The 23,930-nt window shown below is 46.5% G+C and overlaps 3 annotated features.

Moving 5' to 3' along the window:
- Positions 10,778-10,887: an enhancer, noted in NCBI's record as "active region_12851". NCBI's record gives its function as "activates an Ori minimal core promoter by ATAC-STARR-seq in GM12878 lymphoblastoid cells {active_cell/tissue: GM12878}" and the evidence as "EXISTENCE:reporter gene assay evidence [ECO:0000049][PMID:35858748]".
- Positions 17,310-18,248: an enhancer, noted in NCBI's record as "H3K4me1 hESC enhancer chr17:75568585-75569523 (GRCh37/hg19 assembly coordinates)". NCBI's record gives its function as "activates a minimal SCP1, AML or CMV promoter by ChIP-STARR-seq in primed H9 embryonic stem cells {active_cell/tissue: H9 hESC(primed)}" and the evidence as "EXISTENCE:reporter gene assay evidence [ECO:0000049][PMID:30033119]".
- Positions 18,249-19,188: an enhancer, noted in NCBI's record as "H3K4me1 hESC enhancer chr17:75567645-75568584 (GRCh37/hg19 assembly coordinates)". NCBI's record gives its function as "activates a minimal SCP1, AML or CMV promoter by ChIP-STARR-seq in primed H9 embryonic stem cells {active_cell/tissue: H9 hESC(primed)}" and the evidence as "EXISTENCE:reporter gene assay evidence [ECO:0000049][PMID:30033119]".

The following is a 23,930-nucleotide window of genomic DNA, read 5'->3' as shown; positions in this document are numbered from 1 at the left end:
GTGACTTACTGAGAGTTGAAGAGGTATGGAGTAATAAAAACAAAACTAAAGTTTTAAAAAGCCAAGCTGATCGTGGCAAAGCCGAGCGCAGTGGTTCACCCCTGTAATCCCAGCACTCTGGGAGGCCGAGGTAGGTGGATCACAAGGTCAGGAGATCAAGACCATCCTGGCTAACACGGTGAAACCCTGTCTCTACTAAAAAATACATTAAAAAATTAGCCAGGCATGGTGGCGGGCACCTGTAGTCCCAGCTACTTGGGAGGCTGAGGCAGGAGAATGGCGTGAACTCGGGAGGCGGAGCTTGCAGTGAGCCGAGATCGTGCCACTGCACTCCAGCCTGGGCGACACAGCGAGACTCTGTCTCAAAAAAAAAAAAAAAAAAAAAAAACAAGGAAACAATCAGCAGAGCGAAAAACCCACAGAGGGAGAGAAGGTGGGACCCTGCACTCCAGGTGTCTGGCGCCTCCTCCCTGAGCAGGCTGGGTCCCTCTTCACGTAGCCAGCACAGCTTGGGAAGCAACTGATACCGGCAAACCCTGCATCTGGCAAGGGATTAACATAAAAAGTATGTAAGGACCCAAACTATTCAATAGTAAGAAAACTAATAACCCAATTAAAAAATGGGCAAAGCACCTGAATAGACATTTCTCCAAAGAAGAAGTACAAATGACCAACACGTATATGAAAAAATGCTCAACATCACGAATCATCAGGGAAATGCAAATTAAAATTACAATGAGACGTCACCTCACACCTGTTAGAATCACTATTATGAAGAAGACAAAAGATAACAGGTGTTGTTGAGGATGTGGAAGAAGGAAGCCCTGGCACACTGTTGATGGGAATGTAAATTAGTATAGCCATTTTGGAAACCAGTAGGAGGTTCCTCAAAAAATTAAAAATAGAACTCCATATGATCCAGCAATCCCACTACTGGGTACATACCCAAAGGAAATAAACTTAGTATGTCGAAGAGATATTTGCACTCCCATGTTTATTATAGCACTATTCACAGTAGCCAAAATATGGAATCAACTTGTGTCCATCAACGGATGAGTGAATTTTTTTAAATGTGGTATATATACACAATGGAATATTATTAAGCCTGTTGTATTCTTGAAAATTGCCAAGAGAGTACTTTTTAAGTCTTCTCACGAAAAAAATAAGTATATGAGTAATGCATATGTTAAGTAGCTCAATTTAGACATTCTTTAATGTATACATACTTAAGAACATGTTGTACATGATAAGTGTATATACTTTTCATTGTCAATTGAAAAATAAATTTTAAAAGGCAATCTATGAGGCTGGGAGCAGTGGCTCACACCTGTAATCCCAGCACTTTGAGAGGCCAAGGTGGGTGGATCACCTGAAGTCAGGAGTTCGAGACCAGCCTGGCCAGCATGGTGAAACCCTGTCTCTACTAAAAATACAAAAAAATTAGTCAGGCGTGGTGGTGTGCAACTGTAATCCCAGCTACTCAGGAGGCTCAGTTAGGAGAATTGCTTGAACCCAGGAGGCGGAAGTTGCAGTGAGCCAAGATCGTGCCACTGCACTCCAGCCTGGGCGACAGAGTGAGACTCCATCTCAAAAAATAAATAAATAAAAAATAAAAGGCAACCTATGGAATGAGAGAAGATTTTTTTTTTTTTTTTTTTGAGATGGCGTCTCACTCTGTCACCCCGGCTGGAGTGCAGTGGCACAATCTCGGCTCACTGCAACCTTCGCCTCCTGGATTCAAGCGATTCTCCTGCCTCAGGCTCCCAAGTAGCTGGAATAACAGAGGTGCCCGCCACCACGCCTGGCTAATTTTCTTATTTTTAGTAGAGGCAGGGTTTCACCATGTTGGCCAGGCTGGTCTCAAACTCCTGACCTCAGGTGATCCACCTGCCTCGGCCTCCCAAAGTGCTGGGATTATAGGCGTGAGCCACCACGCCCAGACAGAAGATATTTTCAAACCACATATCTGATAAGGGGTTAATATCCATAATAATACAAGGAACTCCTACAACTCAGTAGCAAAAAACAAATAACCCAATTTTAAAAAGAGGAAAAGAACTTGAACAGGCATTTCTTCAAAGAATATGTACAAATGGCCAACAGGAACATCAAAAGATGCTCGACATTGCTAATCACGTAGACAAAACAACAGTGAAATACCACCTCACATCTGTTAGAGCAGCCATTTTAAAAATAATAATAATGTGTGTTGATGAGGATGTGAAGAGATTGGCACACTTGTGCACGATTGGTGGGAATGTGAAATGGTGCAGCTGCTGTGGAAGACAGTCTGGAGGCTCCTCGAAAAATTAAAGATAGAATTACCATAGGATCCAGCAATCCCACTTCTGGGTATTCATTCAAAGGAACCAAAATCAGGACCTTGAAGAGATATTTGCACTTCTGTGTTCATTGCAGTGCTATTCACAACAGCAGGCCAGGCGCAGTGGCTCATGCCTGTAATCCCAGCACTTTGGGAGGCTGAGGTGGGTGGATCACCTGAAGTCAGGAGTTCGGGACCAGCCTGACCAACATGGCAAAACCCCATTTCTACTAAAAATGCAAAAATTAGCTGGGTGTGGTGGTGCATGACTATAGTCCCAACTACTCAGGAGGCTGAAGCAGGAGAATCGCTTGAACCTGGGAGGTGGAGGTTGCAGTGAGCCAAGATCGTGCCTGGCCAACAGAGTGAGACTCCATCTCAAAAAAAAAAAAAAAGCATTATTCACAATAGCCAAGATGTGGAAGTAAACTGACTGCCCATTTACTGATGAATGGATAAAATAAATATGGTAAATATAATGGAATATCATTCATCCTTTAAAAAGAAGGAAGTCCTGCCATATGCAACAACACACATGAACCTGGAAGACATAATGGTAAGTAAAATAAGCCAGACACAGAGGAAAAGCAATGCATGATTCCATTCATATGAGGTATCTAAGAGTCAGACTCATATAAACAGAGGGTAGAATGGTTAGTTGCCTGTAGCTAGGGAGAGGAAAGTGGGGAACAGCTGTTCAGTGTGTATAAAGTTTCAGTTGCACAAGATGAAAAGTTCTAGAGGTCTGCTGTACACCATTGTGCTTATACTTACCAATAATATACTACACACCTAAAAATGTGGTAAGAGGGTGCTATGGTCTGAATGTTTGTGTCTCCCTAAAATTCATATGTTGAAATTTAATCCCCAGGTGATAGTTTTAAGAGGTAGGGCCTTTGGGAGATGATTAGATTGTGAGGGGTCTGCCATCATGGATGGGATTAGGGGCCCTTATAAAAGATCCCTGATGCCAAGATACAACAACAAAGAAATCACGATATCCCTAACGAACATAGACACAAAAATCCTCAACAAAATATTAGCAAACTGGATCCAGCAGCACATCAAAAAGATAATCCACCAAGTTCAAATGGGCTTGCTTCCAGGGATGCAAGGATGGTTCAATATATGAAAATCAATAAATGTGATTGACCACATAAACAGAATTTAAAACAAAAATCATATGATCATCTCAATAGATGCAGAAAAAAAGCACTCAATAAAATCTAACATCCCTTAATGATAAAAACCCTCAAAAAACTAGGCATCAAAGGTACATACCTCAAAACAATAAGAGTCATTTATGACAAACCCACAGCCAATATCATACTGAATAGGCAAAGGTTGGAAGTATTCCCCCTAAGAACTGAAACAAGACAAGGATGTCCACTCTCACCACTCCTATTCAACGTAGTACTGGAAGTCCTAGCCAGAGCAATCAGGCAAGAGAAAGAAATAAAAGGCATCCAAATTGGAAAAGAGGAAGTCAAATTATCTTTCTTCACTGATGATATAATTCTATAACTAGAAAACTCAAAGATTCCACCAAAAGACTCCTAAACTTTAATAAATGATCAGTAAAGTTTCAGGATACAAAACCAATATACAAAAATCAGTAGCATGTCTATACCCCAATAATGCTCAAGTTGAGAAACAAATGAAGAATGTAGTTCCATTTATAATAGTCATACACACACAAATACCTAGGAATACATCTAACCAAGTAGGTGAAAAATGTCCACAAGGAGGACTACCAAACACTGCTGAAATAAATCATAGATGACACAAACAAATAGAAAAACATTCCATGCTCATTGATTGGAAGAATTGATATCATTAAAATGTCCATACTGACCAAAGCAAGCTACAGATTCAATGCAATTCTTATAAAATTACCAAGGTCATTCTTCACAGAATTAGAAAAAACTATTCTAAAATTCATATGGAACCGAAAAAGAGCCCAAATAGCCAAAGCAATCCTAAGCAAAAGGAACAAGGGAGGAGGCTCACATTACCTGACTTCAAACTACACTACAAGGCTACAGTAGTTTGGTGCTGGTACAAAAATGGACATATAGACTAATGGAACAGAATAGAGAACCAAGAAATAAAGCTGCATAACTACAACCAACTGATCTTTGACAAAGTCAACAAAAATTAATAATGGGGAAAAGACATCCTATTCAATAAATGGTATTGGGAAAACTAGCCAGCCATATGCAGAAGAATGAAACTTGACCCCTACCTCTCACCATATACAAAAATGAACTCAAGATGGATTAAAGACTTAAATGTAAGACCTCAACCTATAAAAATCCTAGAAGAAAACCTAGGAAATACTTTTCTGGACATTGGCCTAGGCAAACAATTTATGACTAAATCCTTAAAAGCAAACACAACAAAACCAAAAATTGACAATTGGGACGTAATTAAACTAAGGAGCTTCTGTGCAGCAATATAAATTATCAACAGAATAAACAGACAACTTACAGAATGGGAGAAAAATTTGCAAAATATGCATCTGACGCAGGATTCATGTCCATAATCTATAAGGAGCTTAAGCAAATCAAGAAGAAAAAAAGAAACAACTCCATTAAAAAGTGGGCAAAGGACACACAGTGTCTTTTGAGACACTGCTCAAAAGAAAACATATAAGCGGCCAAAAACGTATTTTTTAAATGCTCAACATCACTAATCGTCAGAGAAATGCAAATCAAAACCACAATGAGATACCATCTCATACCAGTCAGAATGGGTACTATTAAAAGGTCAAAAAATAACAAATGTTGGCAAGGTTGCAGCAAAAAGGGAATGCAAATATGCAATTGATGGGATTGTAAATTAGTTCAGCCCCTGTGGAAAGCAGGTTGGAGATTTCTCAAAGAACTAAAAGTAGAATTATCATTCAACCCGCAATCCCATTACTGGGTATATACCCAAAGGAAGACAAATCATTCTACTGAAACGACACCTGCACTGACATGTTTTTCCCGGCACTATTCGCAATAGCAAAGACATAGAATCAACCAAGGTGCCCATCAATGGGGGATTAGATAAAGAAACGTGGTACATATACACCATGGAATACTATGCAGCCATGAAAAGAATGAAATTATGTCCTTCACAGCAACATGGATGCAGCTGGAGGCCACTATCCTAAGTGAATTAATGCAGAAACAGAAAACCAAATGCCACGTATTCTTACTTATAAACAGGAGTTAAACAATGAGTACAAATGGACATAAATATGGAAATAATAGACACTGGGGATTCCAAAAGGAGGTGGGATAAGGACTGAAAAACTATCTATTGTGTACAACATTCACTATTTGGGTGATAGTTTCAACGGAAGCCAAACATCAGCATCATGCAATATATCCATGTAAGGAACCTGCACATGGAACCCCGATCTAAAATAAATTTTTAAAAATTAAAAAATAATAAAAGAGGCCGGGTGCAGTGGCTCACGCCTGTAATCCCAGCACTTTGGGAGGCGGAGGCAGGTGGATCACCTGAGGTCAGGAGTTCGAGACCAGCCTGACCAATATGCTGAAACCCCATCTCTATTAAAAATACAAAAATTAGCTGGGTGTGGTGGCGAGCGCCTGTAGTCCCAACTACTCGGGAGACTGAGACAGGAGAATTGATTGAACCCAGGAGGCGGAGGTGGCAGTGAGCCGAGATTGCGCCACTGCACTCCAGCCTGGGCGACAGAGCGAGACTCCATCTCAATAATAATAATAATAATAATAATAATAAAAGAGGCCCGAGGGAGCTTGTTCACTCCTGTCACATGAGTACACAAAAGTTGACATCCATGAGGAGCGAGCCCTCACCAGACACAGAATCTGATGGCAACTTGATCGTGGACTTTCCAGCTTCCAGAGCTGTAAGCAAGAAATTTCTGTTGCTTATAAATTATCCAGTCTAAGGCATTTTGTTATAGCAGCCTAAGTAGACAGACAGAGGTTTAAAAAAAGCCAGTGATCATAGAATCGTACAATGTTAATTTCTTAGTTTTAATAAAGGTGCTGTGGTTATTATAAGATGCTGACATTAGGAGAAGCTGGGTGAAGGGTATGGGCCGACTTCTCAGTTCTGGCACTATTGCCACGTTGGGCTAGATCATTCGTTGTTGTGGGGCCATCCTGTGTGCCATAGGACGTTCAGCAGCCTCCCTGTCCTCTACTACCCCCAAGATGCCAGGAAGAACCGCACCCCATCCCAGGATGGGACAACCAAGAGTGTCTCCAGACATTGCCAAATTGACGTTGCTCCTAGTTGAGAATCAGGAACTCTCTGCATCATCTTTGCATTATAGATAGATCTAAAATTATTTCAAAATAGAAAGTTTATACCAAAAAAGATCAACCGAAGTTAAAGCATCTCAGAAACAATGATGTCTTACAAGTCGATGGGGAAATCATTCCAAAGATCAACATTTTATTGACACACAGGTTCCAAATATTACCACTCCTGGATTCCCATTCATCCCACCCTGCCTGCTGGGGCACTTTTGCTTGTTCATGTCTGAATACCCCAACCCCCACCAGGCAGAATTGTCCATCCTCCTCTGCCTGTTCTGCTTCAGTTACCTAAGGTGCGAAACGGATTTCGAAAGTGAGGTGCACCTAGATGAATGATGTGGCTGTCCCAGGCACTAATTGCCTGTCTAAATTACCTTTTTCTTTTTTTTTTTTTTTTTTTTTTTGAGACAGAGTCTTGCTCTGTCGCCCAGGCTGGAGCGCAGTGGTGCGATCTCGGCTCACTAAAATCTCCCGGGTTCAAGTGATTCTCCTGCCGCAGCCTCCCAAGTAGCTGAGATTACAGGTGCATGCCACCACGCCCAGCTAATGTTTGCGTTTTTAGTAGAGACAGGGTTTTGCCATGTTGGCCAGGCTGGTCTCAAACTCCTGGCCTCAAGTGATCTGCCTGCCTCGGCCTCCCAAAGTACTGGGATTACGAGCCCTCGGCCTCCCAAAGTACTGGGATTACAAGCATGAGCCACCGCGCCCGGCCTAAATTACCTTTTAATCGTTGGTAATATTGTGCATTTGTTGCTCTCATAACTTTGATGAATGTTTAATCAAAGTTTAATTCTTTAACCCAGTGACTCTGCATCCGAGAGTATTCCCCCATGATACACCAGCACAACTGCAGAGAGAGACGTGCAGAGCTGTGCAATGCAGCAGCACTTCTAACAGTTACTATTAAAAAAAAAAAAACTAAATAAATAAATCAGGTCTGACCCATAAACTGGAATGCTGTGTCTATTACAATACAATTGAAATCAATCTACAGCTAAATGAAATTATCCAAGATCTATTATAGAGTGAAAAAAAAGGATTAAAACTGTAGATGTAGTATGATCCTAATTGTGCAAAAAAAATATATACAGATATTTGTTATGTATCCATACACAACTTCTGGAAGGATATTCAGGGTATTCAGGAATCTGTTACTTATGGTTGTCTGAGGAATGAGACTGAGAAGTGCAGAGGGTTGAAGAAGGTGGGGGTGTCACTTACTCTTAAGCCAACACCCTTCTGTATCTTTCTATTTATCAGGACGTAAACTAGCTTCTGTTCAGTAGACAGTGATTTCTTTCTGGCCATTAGCCTGTTGAAATCCAGACAGACCAGACTCTACGAAAAATAAATTCCGAATTAATAATATAAATAAATTGAATTGAAGGTAATAGTTCCACCCACAGGATGAGCTACAGTTTCCCTCACTGCACAGAGGGCTCATCACACATTCTCTTGAAATAATCAGGTTTTCAAACCCTTTAAAAACCAGATCCAAGTTTTTTTTTTGTTTTTGTTTTTTTTCAAGACGGAGTCTTGCTTTGTCACCCAGGCTGGAGTGCAGTAGCGTAATCTCGGTTCACTGCAAACTCCATCTCCCAGGTTCAAGCAATTCTCCTGCCTTAGCCTCCCAAGTAGTGAGATTATAGGCACGCACCACCATGTCCAGCTAATTTTTGTATTTTTAGTAGAGATGGAGTTTCACCATGTTGGCCAGGCTGGTCTCGAACTCCTGACCTCAGGTGATCCACCCACCTCAGCCTCCCAAAGTGCTGGGATTACAGGCATGAGCCACCGTGCCTGGCCTGAATCCAGGTTTTTAAAATGCAATGTATATATACCTTAATTAAATATAGAAATAATAACACAAATAGAAGCCTTGTGATTAGAGAATGTCTGAGGTGCATCACAGAAAGTTGGGCCAGCAGACTCCACGGGGATGCTTTTTGGAGAAGCACATGTGTGGGACCCCCCCCACCCCCACCCAGAAGCCCCCTCTCTTCCCACCCATACGGCATGCCTCTCCTAAAAGCCAGCAGGGCCGAGGGGAGCAGCCGGGAAGAATGGCATCTGTCTGCTTGAGAGCTATTGGGGACTCAAGGGACATGCCACTCATCAGGGCCTGTCCACCCTCTCCCCAACATGCCTGTCAGTGACATCTCTCTAGTTTAGGAGGGATGTGGCAAGCCTTTTTAGTAGGACTTTTGTGTACAAAAATTAAGAGAGTAGAAAATTACTTGCATTGGTTATATTAGATATATCATCTATAATATATTCATTTAAACCAAGTGAGTAGCCAAGAGGATACAGAGAAGGACACTAGCTAAAAATACTGAGCATAGGCTGGGAGCTGTGACTGTGTCAATGCAAAAAAAAAAAAAATCACGTATCCAGGCCAGACACAGTGACTCATGCCCATAATCCCAACACTTTAAGAGGCTGAGGCAGGAGCATTGCTTGAGGCCAGGCATTCACAACCAGCCTGGGCAACATAGTGAAGCCTTGTCTCTACAGAAAAATTAGCTGGGCATAGTGGTGCAAAAAAATTAGCTGGGCATGGTGGTGCATGCCTCCAGCCACTCAGGAGGCTGACACAGGTAGATCGCTTGAGCCTGGGGGTTTGAGGCTGCACTGAGCCATGATTGTGCCACTGCACTCCAGCTTGAGCCTGGGTGACACAGTGAGACCCTGTCTCTAATAATAATAATAATAATAATAATAATAATAATAATAATGCTTCCTAACTACCAGGGTCACCAACTTAGCACTGAAGACCCTGCATCTGGGGGATCCTCTTAGTCCTGAGCAAACCAAGACTGTTGTTCACCTTACACTATTAAGAAACATGAATGCACCAAAGCATAAGGCCAAGGGGCTGAGAAGACAGCCAGAGAGGACCGGCCTTTAATGAGGGCCCAGAGGCTGACAGGGGTCTGGCCACCACTTCGTGTGTGTCCTCCCACACCCAACTGGGGCACAAACCTTTGCATAAACACCCCATGAGGAAGAGCCTCTGCAGCTGCCACCTCCTCACAATCCCAAGTGCTCCCATCCCCTGCAGCTTTCATGGGGCCTGAGGATGAGCAAGTTGAGGAGCCAGGATGCAGGGAGCAGTGTGGAGGGGATTTCCCTTTTTCTCTCTGGCTCTTTCTCGATGGTATTGGGCAAGCAGGAGGTGGGAAGAGCAGGAATTAACAAACTTTTGCAGAAGCCACAGCCTCAGCCTTGGTCTGTGATTCCTAGCACATCTTGGATAAAATAGTCTATCAAAGAGAAAACCAGCACAGAACCACAAATAGGCTGTGGATATGGCTCCAGTGACCACAGTCAGAGCAGGAGCAGGTGGCAGGCTACCTGCACTCCAGAGCAGCCGGAGGCTCGGACGGTTCCACGCAATCCACCTGGTTCTGAGTGTTGTCATCAAGTGGAAAGGGGTGGGAGAAAATCCTACTTGAATACAGCAGAACCACATGGAAAAACTCAACTAGACCCCAGGACCCTGCCAAGAACGGCTGCCCCACTGCAGACCCAAGAAAGGGAGGCCAGTAGGGTTTTGTTTTTGTTTGTTTTTCTTTTTCAGCAAATAGACATGATGGTAAATGTCAGTTGGCTCTGGAAATTTCTTTCCTCCTGCAAGAATGAATAAAAAGACAAGGAAGGCCAGGTGCGGTGCCTCACACCTGTAATCCCAGCACTTTGGGAGGCCGAGCTGAGTGGATCACGAGGTCAGGAGTTCAAGACCAGCCTGGCCAACATGTCAAAATCCCGTCTCTACTAAAAATACAAAAATTAGCAGGGTGTGGTGGCACATGCCTGCAATCCCAGCTACTCGGGAGACCGAGGCAGGAGAATCGCTTGAACCTGGGAGGCGAAGGTTGCAGCAAGCTGAGATTGCACCACTGCACTCCAGCCTGGGTAAAAGAGCGAAACTCTGGCTCAAAAAATGAAAAAAAAAAAAAGAAAGAAAAGAAAAAAGACAAGAGAAGAAAAACAATAAGCCCACGGTAAAAAGGTGACACAGGACAAGGAAAAAGGAACAGAATTTTGCAGACTTGGAGGAAGCACAGATTCTATACGAGCTCTGGGGAAATTTTAGGAAGTTGTTTGACGTGCTCCACATGAGATGCAAAAAACATGGTCTCTGTGAAAGAGAAATCAAACAAAGCCAAAAAGCAGCAGAAAGGCCAAAGGAGTTCCGACTCTTGTGGCACTCACGGTTCTGAGAAAAGAGAAATTGTGCAGGTTGACGTCATCCTAGAAAGTGTGGAGAAGGAAGTGGAACTGGTTTGGAGCATACATTTGATATCAGCCGTGAATAGGCATTTTAAGTGCAGAAAGCAGTATGAGAGGCTGGGATCCTCACTGAAGTGGAGCCTGCTGCAGGGTTTCTGGGGGTGGATGTGGCAGGTGGTCATGGGAAGCACCTGCAGGGGAGGGGGTAAGTGGGGCAGGGAAGGTGAAGCAACCTCAAAAGGGTGAGGTAGCAACATGTCTCCTCCGAGAGAGAGCGGAGCTTAATCCCACTGCAGAACTCTGGAAAATGGCATCCTTGCCATGCGCCTCAGAATTATCTCACCAGAAGAGCAAGAAAGATGAGGTCTTTATTCACTTACTCCCACAAGTCACTGGATAAGGGCTGCTCCCTGGAGGTGCTAATTCCTTGGGGCTTCCTAACTCCTGCTGTCCACAGGCCAAGAGAACCTCATGGGAACAGAGCGTCTCAGGCAAAGAGCCTTGGTGCAGCCGTGGAAAAGACAGGCCAGAGCTGAGGACCACAGGGGTACGCCAGGGCAGGGGCAATGTATCTTTCAACAAGGGTAGGAGGAGTGACCAGAAGAAGCATGGGCAGGGCCGGGAACATGAGCTCGACTGAGAAGATGGTCCTGGGGGTGGTGGGATATAAGGGTGAGTCCATAGATCGGAATGGTGTTTGTAAAAACTCAGCCTTAGCCGGGTGCGGTGATTCACGCCTGTAATCCCAGAGCTATGGGAGGCCAAGGTGGGCAGATCACCTGAGGTCAGGAGTTCGAGACCACCCTGGGCAATATGGTGAAACCCCATTTCTACTAAAATACAAAATTAGAGGCCGGGCACAGTGGCTCACACCTGTAATCCCAGCAATTTGGGAGGCCAAGGCGGGTGGATCACGAGGTCAGGAAATCGAGACCATCCTGGCAAACACGGTGAAACCCCATCTCTACTAAAAATACAAAAAATTAGCCAGGCATGGTGGTGAAAGCCTGTAGTCCCAGCTACTCGGGAGGCTGAGGCAGGAGAATGGTGTGAACCCAGGAGGCGCAGTTTGCAGTGAGCCGAGATGGCACCACTGCACTCCAGCCTGGGAGACAGCGAGACTCCGTCTCAAAATAAATAAATAAATAAATAAATAAATAAAAATAAAATAAAATACAAAATTAGCTGGGTATGGTGGCGCACATCTGTAGTCCCAGCAACTCGGGAGGCTGAGGCATGAGAATCACTTGAGCCAGAGAGGCAGAGGTTGCAGAGAGCCAAGATCATGCCACTGCACTGCAGCCTGGGTGACAGAGCGAGACTCCATCTCGGAAAAAAATAAAAATAAAAATAAAAACTCTGCCTGGGCCAGGCACAGTGACTCACACCTGTAATCTCAACACTTTGAGAGGCCAAAGCAGGAAGATCCGTTGAGACCAGAAATTTGAGACCAGCCTGGGCAATGTAGGGCGACCCTATCTCTACAAAAACATTAAAAAAAATTAGCCAGGCATGGTGGGTCACACCTCTAGTCCTAGCTACTCAGGAGGCGGAGGTGGGAGGATAGCTTAAGCCCGAGAAGTGGAGGCTGCAATGAGCCATAATTGCCCCACTGTACTCCAGCCTTGGGACAAAGTGAGACGCTGCCTCAAAAAATAAATAGATAAATAAATAAGTAAAAGCCTGCCTAGGAAGTTTGGACTTGATATCCAGGAACTGGGATTCATTGCACAGCTTCAAACAGTCTCTTGGGTCGGTTCTTAAACAAGGGTGTACTGGGTTGAATCGTGTCTCACCAGAATTCATGGTTCAAGGTTCAGAATCTGTGAATGTGGCCTACTGTGTAAATAGGGCCTTTGCAGGTGTAATGAAAGTTAAGATGAGGTCCTACTGGACTACAGGAGGCCCTAAATTGGATATGACTGGTGTCCTTTGAAAATAAAAAGAAGAGAAGACACACACACACACACACACACACACACACACACATGCGGAGGCCATGTGAAGATGGAGCAGATATCAACGGGAGGCAGCTGCAGGCTGCCAAAGGACACCAAAGATTGTCGGAAGCCCCCAAAACCTAGGAAGAGGCATGGGTTAGATCCTCCCCTACAGCCTCCAGAAGGAACTGACCCTGCCAACCCCTCGATGTTGGACATCTGGCCTTCTGAACTGTGAGAGGATACACTTCTGTGGTTTCAAGCCCCTCGGTGTGTGGTACTTGGCTACAGGAGCCCCAGAAAACTGCCACAAAGGGTTAGGTGAGGAAGACCAGGCTGAAGGACCGTGGGAACAGGCTGGAGGGAGGAAACCCAGGTTGCCGAACTCCTACGATGCTGGTCCTTCAGGTCTCAGGCAGAAAGCTGTTTCCCCAGAGGGTGCTTCCCTGGACATCAACGCCCACCAACTCTTCCTGGCTAAGTCACATAACCCTGCCATACGTTCTCACACCTATCCTTTTGCCTGCAGCATTTCTGTGGTTTGTCTGGGCAGGGGCTTTGGGGATGATGCTGAGAACCATTTTGGAAGGAAAAAGACAATAAATATGATGACAGATAATGTCTAGAGTTTGAAGGAGTAGAGACAATGAGTGACTCCAAGTCTCATAACCTAAGAGTTGAGCTGCTACTCTTTTTTTTCTTTTCTTTTTTTTTTTTTTTTTTTTTTTGAGATGGAGTCTCACTCTGTTGACTAGGCTGGAGTGCAGTGGCGCGATCTCAGCTCACTGCAACTTCTACCTCCCAGGTTCGAGTGATTCTCCTGCCTCAGCCTCCCGAGTAGCTGGGATTACAGGGGTGCACCACGACGCCCAGCTAATTTTTGTATTTTTAGTAGAGATGAGGTTTCACCATGTTGGCCAGGCTGGTCTCAAACTCCTCACCTCAGGTGATCCGCCTGCCTCAGCCTCCCAAAGTGCTGGGATTATAGGCAAAAACCACCTCACCCGGTGTGAGCTGCTACTCTTAACAATGTGGTCCATGTGAAGGAAACTGTGGGGAGAAATGGAGGGAAGGAGAAGAAAGGTGACGAATTTAGTGTCAGTCCTGTAGGATTTAAGACTAGAGCCCACAAGGAGGGAGAGAGTTAAAATCACCAATGGCTTTTGAAACAAAACTAAATACTGTAACAGAGCAAATCACTGCCGATGGGCAATCCAACTTAGAGACTGTGAGTGGTAAATTTATAACCTAAATAAGTATCTCCATACATACAGCATGCTTCCTCTCCCCTTGTCTAGCAAAAGACGCAGTAGACGCTATCGCTTCTCTCCTGCACCTCCTGGAAAGCATGTGTGATAAGAACTAAAGAGATAAATACATGAACTGTCTACTCTGGAGCCCTTCATAAACACAGATAAACAAGCTGTGCTCCTCCACTCTTGAAGAGTCACTAATCTGGGCAGATCTGCCCAACTTCCACATCGAGAATGTTCCTCTTTGGGCATGATCCTCTCTGACAGCCACACCTGTTGTTCTCAAGCCGCACCATCATTAAACACTCTAGGTATTGGTCTCCGAGACTCAGCAATGGGACAGACAGGCTTAAATGATTCCCCACCAATGCCAAACACTTGTTTTTTCTTCCCCAGTGATGTTGGGTCATCTGTTGGACAAACATGGCTTGTTATCCTTAGAATGACATCATTTTACTGGAAAGTGCAGGCCAGGCACGGTGGCTCACGCCTGTAATCCCAGCACTTTGGGAGGCCAAGGCGGGTGGATCACCTGAGGCCAGGAGTTTGAGACCAGCTGGACAACATGGTGAAACCCAGTCTCTACTAAAGATATCAAAAATTAGCTAGGCATGGTGGCGTGTGCCTGTAATCCCTGCTACTCGGGAGGCTGAGGCAGGAGAATTGCTTGAACCCGGGAGGTGGAGGTTGCAGTGAGCTGAGATCTCACCATTGCACTCCAGCCTGGGCGACAGGGCGAGACTCCGTCTCAAAAAAAAAGAATTGGAAAGTGCTGTGGCCTGAGGGCAGGGGGGCTATGGAGAGGTTCAGGCAGAGCAGGAAGCAGATGTGGAGACAAGCTGTGCCCGCCACGTTCCAGGCAGCAGGGCCATGAGGTATTCACAGTACATCACCAAAAATGTTGCCACTGAACTATGAAAAATGTGGCCAAAGTCTTTACTCAAATTAAAGGCAAGAACCTATATGAAACAAAAGAATAGATCAGAGATACAAGAGCTCAGGAGAGATAAGAGGAAATGGTTTGTGATCTGGAATAATGCAGAGAAGTGGAAGGAAAAAACAATAAAAATAAAAATAAAACCCCTGAAGAAATGAAGATGTTCTAGAAAGAATCACAGGAGAGGACACTCTGCTGAAAGCCGGGTAAAGAACAGAAGAGAAGTGAGAAAAGCGATCCAAAGCAAATGGAGGCAGAGCCCTGTTAAATCTTTTAACTGTGTTCAGCCCACAGTTGATCAAATTCTGCTGATTTCAGGACCTCACTTTTCAGAAAGTACTCACTGGCATTCCAGTAAACTTGGGTTCCACAAAACACATTTTGGGAAATGGTGTTCTAGATCAGCAGTTCTAACTGGGCATGACCAGGGGACAACTGATGATGTTGAAAGACATATTTGGGGCCAGGTGCGGTGGCTCACGCCTGTAATCCCAGCACTTTGAGAGGCCAAGGCAGGCAGATCACTTGAGGTCAGGAGTTTGAGACCAGCTCGGGCAACATGGTGAAACCCTGTCTCTACTAAAAACACAAAAATTAGCCAGGTCTGGTGGCAGGTGCCTGTAATCCCAGCTACTTGGGAAGCTGAGGCAGGAGAATTGCTTGAACTCAGAAGCTGGAGGTTGCAGTGAGCTGAGAACACACCACTGCACTCCAGCCTGGGTAACAGAGCAAGACTCCATCTCAAAAAAAAGAAAAGAAAAGAAATACATATGTGGTTGTCATGACTGAGTGGGTCTAGTGTGTAGGGATCAGGGCACCCTACTACTGGCATCTAGTGGGTAGGGATCAGGGACACTGCTAACGTCCTACAATGTTCAGGACGGGCCTTCACAACACAGAATTATCTGGTCCCGTATGTCAACAATGCCATTGCAGAGACCCCTGCCCCAGAGGATCATGGGGTATTTACACTTATGCTGCAATAAATTCTGCCGAAATAACTTTGTACAAAAGAGGCCCCATGGTTCGAGTATTGCTTAACCACGCCTATGGCCTTTGGGGTTCCCTGTTGGTAGAGCTGGCTGTAATGGGAATGATGGGAAGAAGGGAGTGGACTTGGAAGGGCTTTGGAAACAAGTGGCAAGTTCCAATTCCTGCAAAAGAAGAGCTGCAAAGAAGCATGGAAAGTTTGAGGTGTCATCGGAGAGAGGACAGAGTGGAGCAGGCGGGAAACCTCGCTGTGTGGGCTGACCTTCATACCGTTCATTCGAGATTTTCATTTCAGCCACTCTCATTCATGGTGTGTGGACCCCAAAATAGAGGGGGAAAATGGAGCAGAAATATTACCCAAGACTCCAGGCTGATCTCTGCTTCTCCCCCACAGGAGTGGGGAGGGCCCTGCCAGCAGGTCCACCTACCCAAAGAGCACAAGGCCCCAGCCTGCTGGCCTACTGCACCTGAGGGGCAGTTGGTACGTATCCAGGGCTCTGCAGAGGGCGGGTCTTGGCAGAGTGGCAGCTCTTCCTCTTCCTCCTTTGACAGCCCATTCAAGGGCATTAAAAAGAAGCTTCCAGTGAACTTCTATTTGACTCCATTACCTCACTGGTAACCTGCGAAATGCCAAATGCTGCCACTTGCCCTGCGGGAAGTGATTTTGTCTCTCACCCATGAATGTCACCACAGAAGCTAACTTCAATCCCCAGTGATGGATTGGCTTCTCTTCCTTCAGCACAACTCAAATGCCAGGCGTCAAACACAAAGAGACTCACCTCTGCCTCTCTCTGAGCTCTGGGCTTTCTTTGGTATTAAAATCACAAGCTGCCACTTCCATAGCCTGAAAGAGACATGGAAAATCATTTATTCAAAAAAAAACGCTTAACTATGATACAGCCACACTATAAAATATTATGCAGCCACTAAAAAAAGGATGTATTAAAGACTATTTAAGGAAATGGAAAAATGTTCACATTATGATGATAGCTAAAAAAAGCAGAATACGATATGATCTCAAGTCTGTAAAAATAAAGAGAAAAACTAAAAGGCAGAAAAAGATTATCTTTTATCTCCAGACAGGAAAACTGTAGATACTTTATTTCTTCATACCTTTCTATATTTTTCAATTTTTCTACATGAGAATGTATTACTTGGCTGATAAGCAATTAAAAGTTTGTTTTCAAAAGAAAGCATAAATCATTTTACTCTCTTCAGACTCAGAGTAATAATGTTCTGATAACTGACATCCCCACAAGAAGAGCCTACAGCTGAAGACACCAGCCACCTGCTCTCCTAATTTATCCCAAAGAACCTCCCAAAACTGGCCCACAGACATCTTCAGGGGTCCTCCTTCTGGTGGAGGGAGTGGGCAGGAAGGGGTACTGGGAATCACAGCACGACTCATTGTCACAAAGCCAGAGATACAGAAAGAGCACGTTAACTGCACGAACCCATTCCAACCACAAAGCAAGAGCCACCCACCCTCCAATGAGATGCATTCTGTTCCTCCAACTTTGACACCTATGGAACTTTCCAGAAGCCAGCTGTCCCCGCAAGATGGTTCTGGACCCAGGAGCATGTCTTAGACCTGGTACCAGAACTCAGTGACATGTCTGGGTGACCTGTTCATAGGGGCACCTGACAGAGGGGTGCCAGCCAGTCACAGAGGCCCAGACAAGTAGGAAAAAAGGCTGCCATGAGTCATCCCTCTCCAACCCCAGACCTTGGGTTGCGAGCCTGGAAAATCACCTGCTGTGTCCTCACGGCCCTCGGCTCTCCCATCACACACCAGAGCATGCTGGGGAGGCTGGCAGGTGGGCAGTGGGCACAGAGGCTGGCCAGAGGGTGGGAGATTATACTGCAGGATTATTTCCCCAGATCCATTCATTCCACACCCACTTATCGAGCACCTGCAGGCTATGAGGCAGGGCGTGTGGCAGGCAAGGGGGCAGGATAATGCATACCTGGGCACCATCTGTCTTTAACACAGCGGTTCTCACCCTGCAGCTGCATCAGCCTCACCTGCAGGGGCTTCCTTAGAACCTGCCTCTAGTTCTGATTCAGCAAGTCTGGAGTGGGACCCCTACATTTTGCATTTTCCACAAATCCCCAGGTGACGCTGCGGTTGTGGCTGCCGGTCAGGGGACCCTACTTGGAGAGCCACTGAGGAAACAGCAGGGAGGAGGCAAGGTTGAAACCCATTAGCTCCTCCACCCTATGGAAACAGACACAGCACGTGGGATGGCGGGACACAGTCACAAATCCAGACGGGCACCAGCCTCGCCTCCTTTTGGGTGTGGAGCTGACCAGGCTTACATAAGCAGCCCAGTGCCTGCAGAGGGCGAATCCCTCCTCCGGGAAGCCTGTGTCTCAGATGGAGGGGCAGGAGGAGGGCATCGTCCCAGCCCCTGGTCCTGAGCTTTTGTTTCTCAGGGACATCTGTGCCCAGAGATGGAGCCATCTTCCAGCCATCTCGTCGGAAGCCAAGTTGCCCCGAGACTCATTGGAATTCAGCTTGCTTATAAACACCTGGAGGTTTTGAGATTAGGCTGAGGTCTGGGGCTCGGGGATTTTGCTTGGGGAGTTTATCAGAGTTAAGTCGGCGTAGGTGAAAGGCGGTGGATGAGCCTGATGGGGGAGGTGGCAGGCATCAGTAAAGTGAGTGCATTATTCACACATCTCCTTCCACCAGAACGAAAGCTCGCCTTCCACTCAAGAATGCTTCTCAACACCCTTCGATTTTTTTTATCCGTTTTTAAAGGAGGCAGAGAGGAAAAGATCATAATTTTTAATTAAGAAATTAAGCCATCCCCTTCCTAAATATTCACTGTGCATTTATCGCCTCCAGGAAGGGGGAGGGGAGAGTCCAACCGTTGCAGGAAAATGGTTTTCATCATCCGCAAAATCCGATGCCCAAAATAGCCCCATCGTTGCCCTGGCAACTAACATTTGCTCCCCCTTCCCCCTCCTCCCCGATGCCTTTGCATATTGCTGCATATTTCTATCATCTCTTTCCAGGCACAGTTCATAAACACGACGGCATAATAAAGAATGTTATCACCAATGACTTACAGCCCAGCTGCGCCCGGCGAGATAGGAAGTGGCAAGCAGATACAATTTCATGCAGCGAGGGCAACGGAGCGATTGGGTGCCCTTCAAATGTGATGCCACTTCTTTAAGTCAGTCCAAATTCAGAAATAAAGTTGGCCTCGCCCTTTTCCTGGCCGCCATCGACAACGCATGCAGGGATAATGCCCCGGAGTCTAATTAGGGCTGGAAAGATGTTGCCCTGAGATGGGGATTATTCCAACAGCCTCCTTCGCGGCCCCGCTCGGCCCTCGCCTCCCCTCCCGCCTCCCCTCCTCTCCCTTGTCAAAGGGCCGAGGCCCCAGGATGTGGCCTTTTTGAATTAATTATCCTCTCTTCGCAAGGATTATTCGGGCTCCCATGGCTAGGGGCAGTGGGGGTGGGGCAGGGGCCGCCGCAGATGAAGATCCGGGAAGATTTTCCACACCCGAACCCCGCTCCTTTAGTTTCAGGGGGTGGCAGCGTTAATTGCGGGGACTCACTCTGCATGGGGTTAATGCAAGGAGAGAGGGCACTCTCTAGACCCTCAGCAGCCACTTCTGTCCAGAGAGGGTGGAAGGTCGGGGACCTTTCTCTCACTGCCCCCCAAGGCTTACACAACTCTATAAGCCTCTCCTCTGGTTCTTGTTCTAGACGGGGCCAGAGCTTTAGTTTTTTTGCTTAAAATAATAAAGATATGGCTGGCCGCAGTGGATGGGCCCATCCAGAAGAAGAGGGAGAAGTTTATTCTGGCTTTGGGGGCTCCTACAATTTCCTTGGGCAAGGATCAGGAGGTTAAAGATCAAGGCCAAACTTATCTGCCCGCCTCCAGGGCCTGTGGAACCAGCCAGGCCTCCCCTGGGCGGTGTGGCCACCACACGCAGGGCCCTCTAGCCCACCGGATCTGGTGGACTGCCAGAGCCAGGGGTCCCGGCACTGTCCCCCGCCCACTGTTCCATGTGGGTCCTTCCAGGCCGCCCCCAAGCCTAGCTAGACAGTGTCCAGGCTGAGCTCAGGCTGGCCAGTAGCAGCCTCCCACTCCTCCCAGGGGCTTCCAGCCAGGGGGACAGGCAGCCAGGTGGGGACATAGTGGAGGAAGGGAAGGTGTCCCAAGGGCATCACTAGGCACTGGAGAAGATCGTAATCAGGGTGGGGTGAACATGGGGGCTGGTGGGCAGGGCAGCAGAAGCTGCAGGTTCAGCTGATCTCTGCCTTGTGGCCCCAGGCGCCATGCAGAGAAGGCCCCACGCGCCATGCACAGAAGGCCCCACACAGCCTTTGCAGGGCAGGAGAGGCCCCGCGGGAACGTGACAGCCCTCCAGGAGGAGGCTTCTCAAAATCCAGTCCACAGTGGAGTCGGCAAGGAGAGCTCTGAGGTGTGATCCCGGGGAACGGAGCAGGTAGCAGAATGTCCGCCATCCCATCCACGAAGGTCCCGTGCTGCCTGGGACCCCAGCACCACCGAGAGTTTCACCCTTTCCTCCATGGACGCCACTGTGGAACCAGCCTAAGGGGCTGTCCCTGGCTACCTCCATGGCAGGAACCAGATATCCCCAGCCAGGCCCTCGTGGTGCCCACAGGTGGGTGGAGACAGAAGGGCCACAGCCTCTCTGGGGGCCAGGCTCACCTTCCACGTGCTTGGCTGCCTGGAGCCATCCCCTCACCTGTGCTGTTCCCACGGGCCAGCTTATTCCCTAGGTGGAGGGCTGGACATTTGGGCAGGTGGTCATATTGGGGGCAGGGGGATTTTGCAGCAGGAGAGAAGATAAGCAAGGTTGGTAAGATGCCATTTCGTGTCCCCTGCGTTCTTGGCTCTGTCCGAGGTTACTCCCAAGGAGGAGTTTATCTAGTACCTGATGCTCTTCTCACACCTGTATTACTAAGATGGGGGAAGCAAGAAATTCTGAAGAAAAACCAACCTCCCCTTCACCCATTCACAACAATTTCCCTTGAGTCAGCCCGGCTCTCCCAGCCTGCTTCCCAGGGCCCTGCTTGAATTTTGTATAGACATAAACATGTATCTATTCATTGATGTAAAATTCATATAACATAAAATGAATGATTTAGAAGTGAACAATTCTGGCCAGGAGCAGTGGCTCACTCCTGTAATCCCAGCATTTTGGAAGGCCAAGCAAGGTGGGAGGATCACTTGAGGTCAGGAGTTCGAGACCAGCCTTGGCCACATAGTGAGAACTCATCTCTAAGAAAAGTAAACAAAATTGGCCGGGTGCAGTGGTGCATGCCTGTAATCCCAGCACTTTGGGAGGCTGAGGCAGGTGGCTCACCTGAGGTCAGGAGTTCGAGACCAGCCTGACCAACATAATGAAACCCAGTCTCTACTAAAAACACAAAAATTAGCCAGGCATGGTGGTGCATGCCTGTAATCCCAGCTACTCAGGAGACTGAGGCAGGAGAATCGCTTGAACCTGGGAGGCGGAGGTTGCAGTGAGCCAAGATCGAGCCACTGCACTCCATCCTGGGCAACAGAACAAGCCTCCATCTCAAAAATAAAATAAAAAAATTAGCTCCATGTTGTCGCTCACGCCTATAGTCCCAGCTACTCAGGAGGCTGAGGTGGGAGGATCACTTGAGCCTGGGAGATCAAGGCTACAGTAAGCCGTGATCGCGTCACTGCACTCCAGCCTGGGTGATAGAGCAAGACCCTGTCTCAAAAAGAAAAAAAAAAAATAGTGAACAATTCAGCAGCATTTTATATGTTCACAATGCTGTATCAATCAAGTTCCAAAACATTTTACTCACCCCAACAGAAAACCCTGTACCTGTCAGTGGTCACTCCCCATTTCCCCTCCCCACAACCTTGGCAACCCCCAATCTGCCTTTTGTCTCTGCGTGTGTCCCTCTGCTGGATATTTCCTATAAATAGGATCTACAACACGTGACTGGTTTCTTTCACTTAGCGTGATGTTTTTGAGGTTCACCCACCTCGTATCATGTGTCAGTACTAGATTCCTTTTCATGGCTGAATAATATTCCATTGTATTTATAGACCACAGTTTATTTATTTATCCATTGACAGACATTTGGGTTGTTGTCAGTTTTGGGCTATTGTCAGTAGTCCTGCTGCGGGCATTCGTGTACAACATTTGTTTAAATAGCTGTTCCCAGCTACGTGTGGTGGCTTATGCCTATAATCCCAGCACTTTGGAAGGCCGACGCGGGTGGATCACCTGAGGTCAGGAGTTTGAGACCAGCCTGACCAACATGGAGAAACCTCGTCTCTACTGAAAATACAAAATTAGCCAGACATGGTGGTGCATGCCTGTAATCCCAGCTACTCAGGAGGCTGAGGCAGGAGAATCGCTTGAACTTGGGAGGCGGAGGTTGAGGTGAGCCAAGATCATGCCATTGCACTCTAGCCTGGGCAACAAGAGCAAAACTCCATCTCAAAAACAAAAACAAAAAAAAACAAACAACATACTTGTTCCCAATTATTTGGGGCATATACCTAGGGACAGAATTCCTGGGTTATATGATAGTTTAATGTTTAACTTTTTCTCTTCTTTTTTTTGAGACAGGGTCTTACTCTGTCTCTCAGGCTGGAGTGCAGTGGCATGATCACGGCTCACTGCAGCCACAAATTCCTGGGCTCAGGCGATCCTCCCACCTCAGCCTCCCGAGTGGCTGGGACTACAGGTGCACACCACCATGCCCAGCTAGTTTTTGTATTTTTTGTATAGATGGAGTTTTACCACATTGCCCAGGCTGCTCTCAAACTCCTGGGCTCAAGTGACCCTCCCACCTCAGCCTCCCAAAGTACCGGAATTACAAGTGTGAGCCACCCCACTATGCCTGGCCTTTCATGTTTAACTTTTTGAAGAACTACAAAACCATTTTTCGAAGAGGCTGCCCCATTTCACATTCCTACAGGCAAGGCACGAGGGTTCTGAACCCCCCACACACTCACCAACACTTGCTGTCATCCGTCTTGACTCCAGCCGTCCTAATGGGCATGAAATGCTATCTCATGTGGTTTTAAATTGAATGTCCCTGAAAACTAATCAATTTGAGCATGTTTTCATTTGCTTGTTGGCCCCTACTTGAATTGGATATTGGTTTCTTTTCTTTTTTCTCCTTGCAAAAAAGAAATCTGGTTCTTCAATAAAGATTTTCACTCATACAGCCAAGAACTGCAAACGGGGCCCTGGAACACATGAGGCCTGGGGACAGGGTCCCTCGGAGAGAGAACTTTCCACCTCTTTCCTCAAACCCTCCTGACCGCAGAGCCGAGGAGAGAAAACTGTAGATGACCAAAAGATTTTGAAAAGTATTTAGCATTAAACTCTGTGCTGTTCCAGGAGAGGACCTCTTAAATCTCCCTTGAAGGGGAACAAGAAGACACATCCCGCTTCTTCCAAGCAAAACGGAGGTTCAAGGGGGGAGGGTTCTTTCCATTTGCTTTGCATGCAGGAGGAGGCTGGTAAATCCTATTTACCTTTCTCCTCTCTAGCACATTTCCAAGAAAAGCAAAGCAAAATCAACTTTGTATTCTATAGACCATGAGAGCCTTTGTAGGACAGAAAGTTCACAATCATTTTTCCCTCTCCTCAAACCTTCCACCCTGGCACCATAAAACATCTCTTTCGGCCATCAGATGATCCGGTCCCATAATCTATGGGAACATTAAAGGGAGGAAAATTGTGCTGAAAAATGACAGCCTGTCTCTGCCCTCTCCACCCCTGGTGTGCCTTCACCGCTCCGTGTTCTCTCATCCCAGGTCAGACACCTGCTCCCTCTTTGTCATTCTCCAACATGATAAATGCTCTTGCACACCAACTACCAGCATCTCTGTGGTCTGTGAGCCAGTGTACATGACTGTCCTTTGTCTTGGAGAAGAGGCCTGAGGGGGACAGTGGATCC

Source organism: Homo sapiens, chromosome 17 (assembly GCF_000001405.40).
Source record: "Homo sapiens chromosome 17, GRCh38.p14 Primary Assembly".
Taxonomy (NCBI): domain Eukaryota; kingdom Metazoa; phylum Chordata; class Mammalia; order Primates; family Hominidae; genus Homo; species Homo sapiens.
Note: the sequence above shows the minus strand (reverse complement) of the source record. Positions and strands in the feature narration are given on the sequence as shown.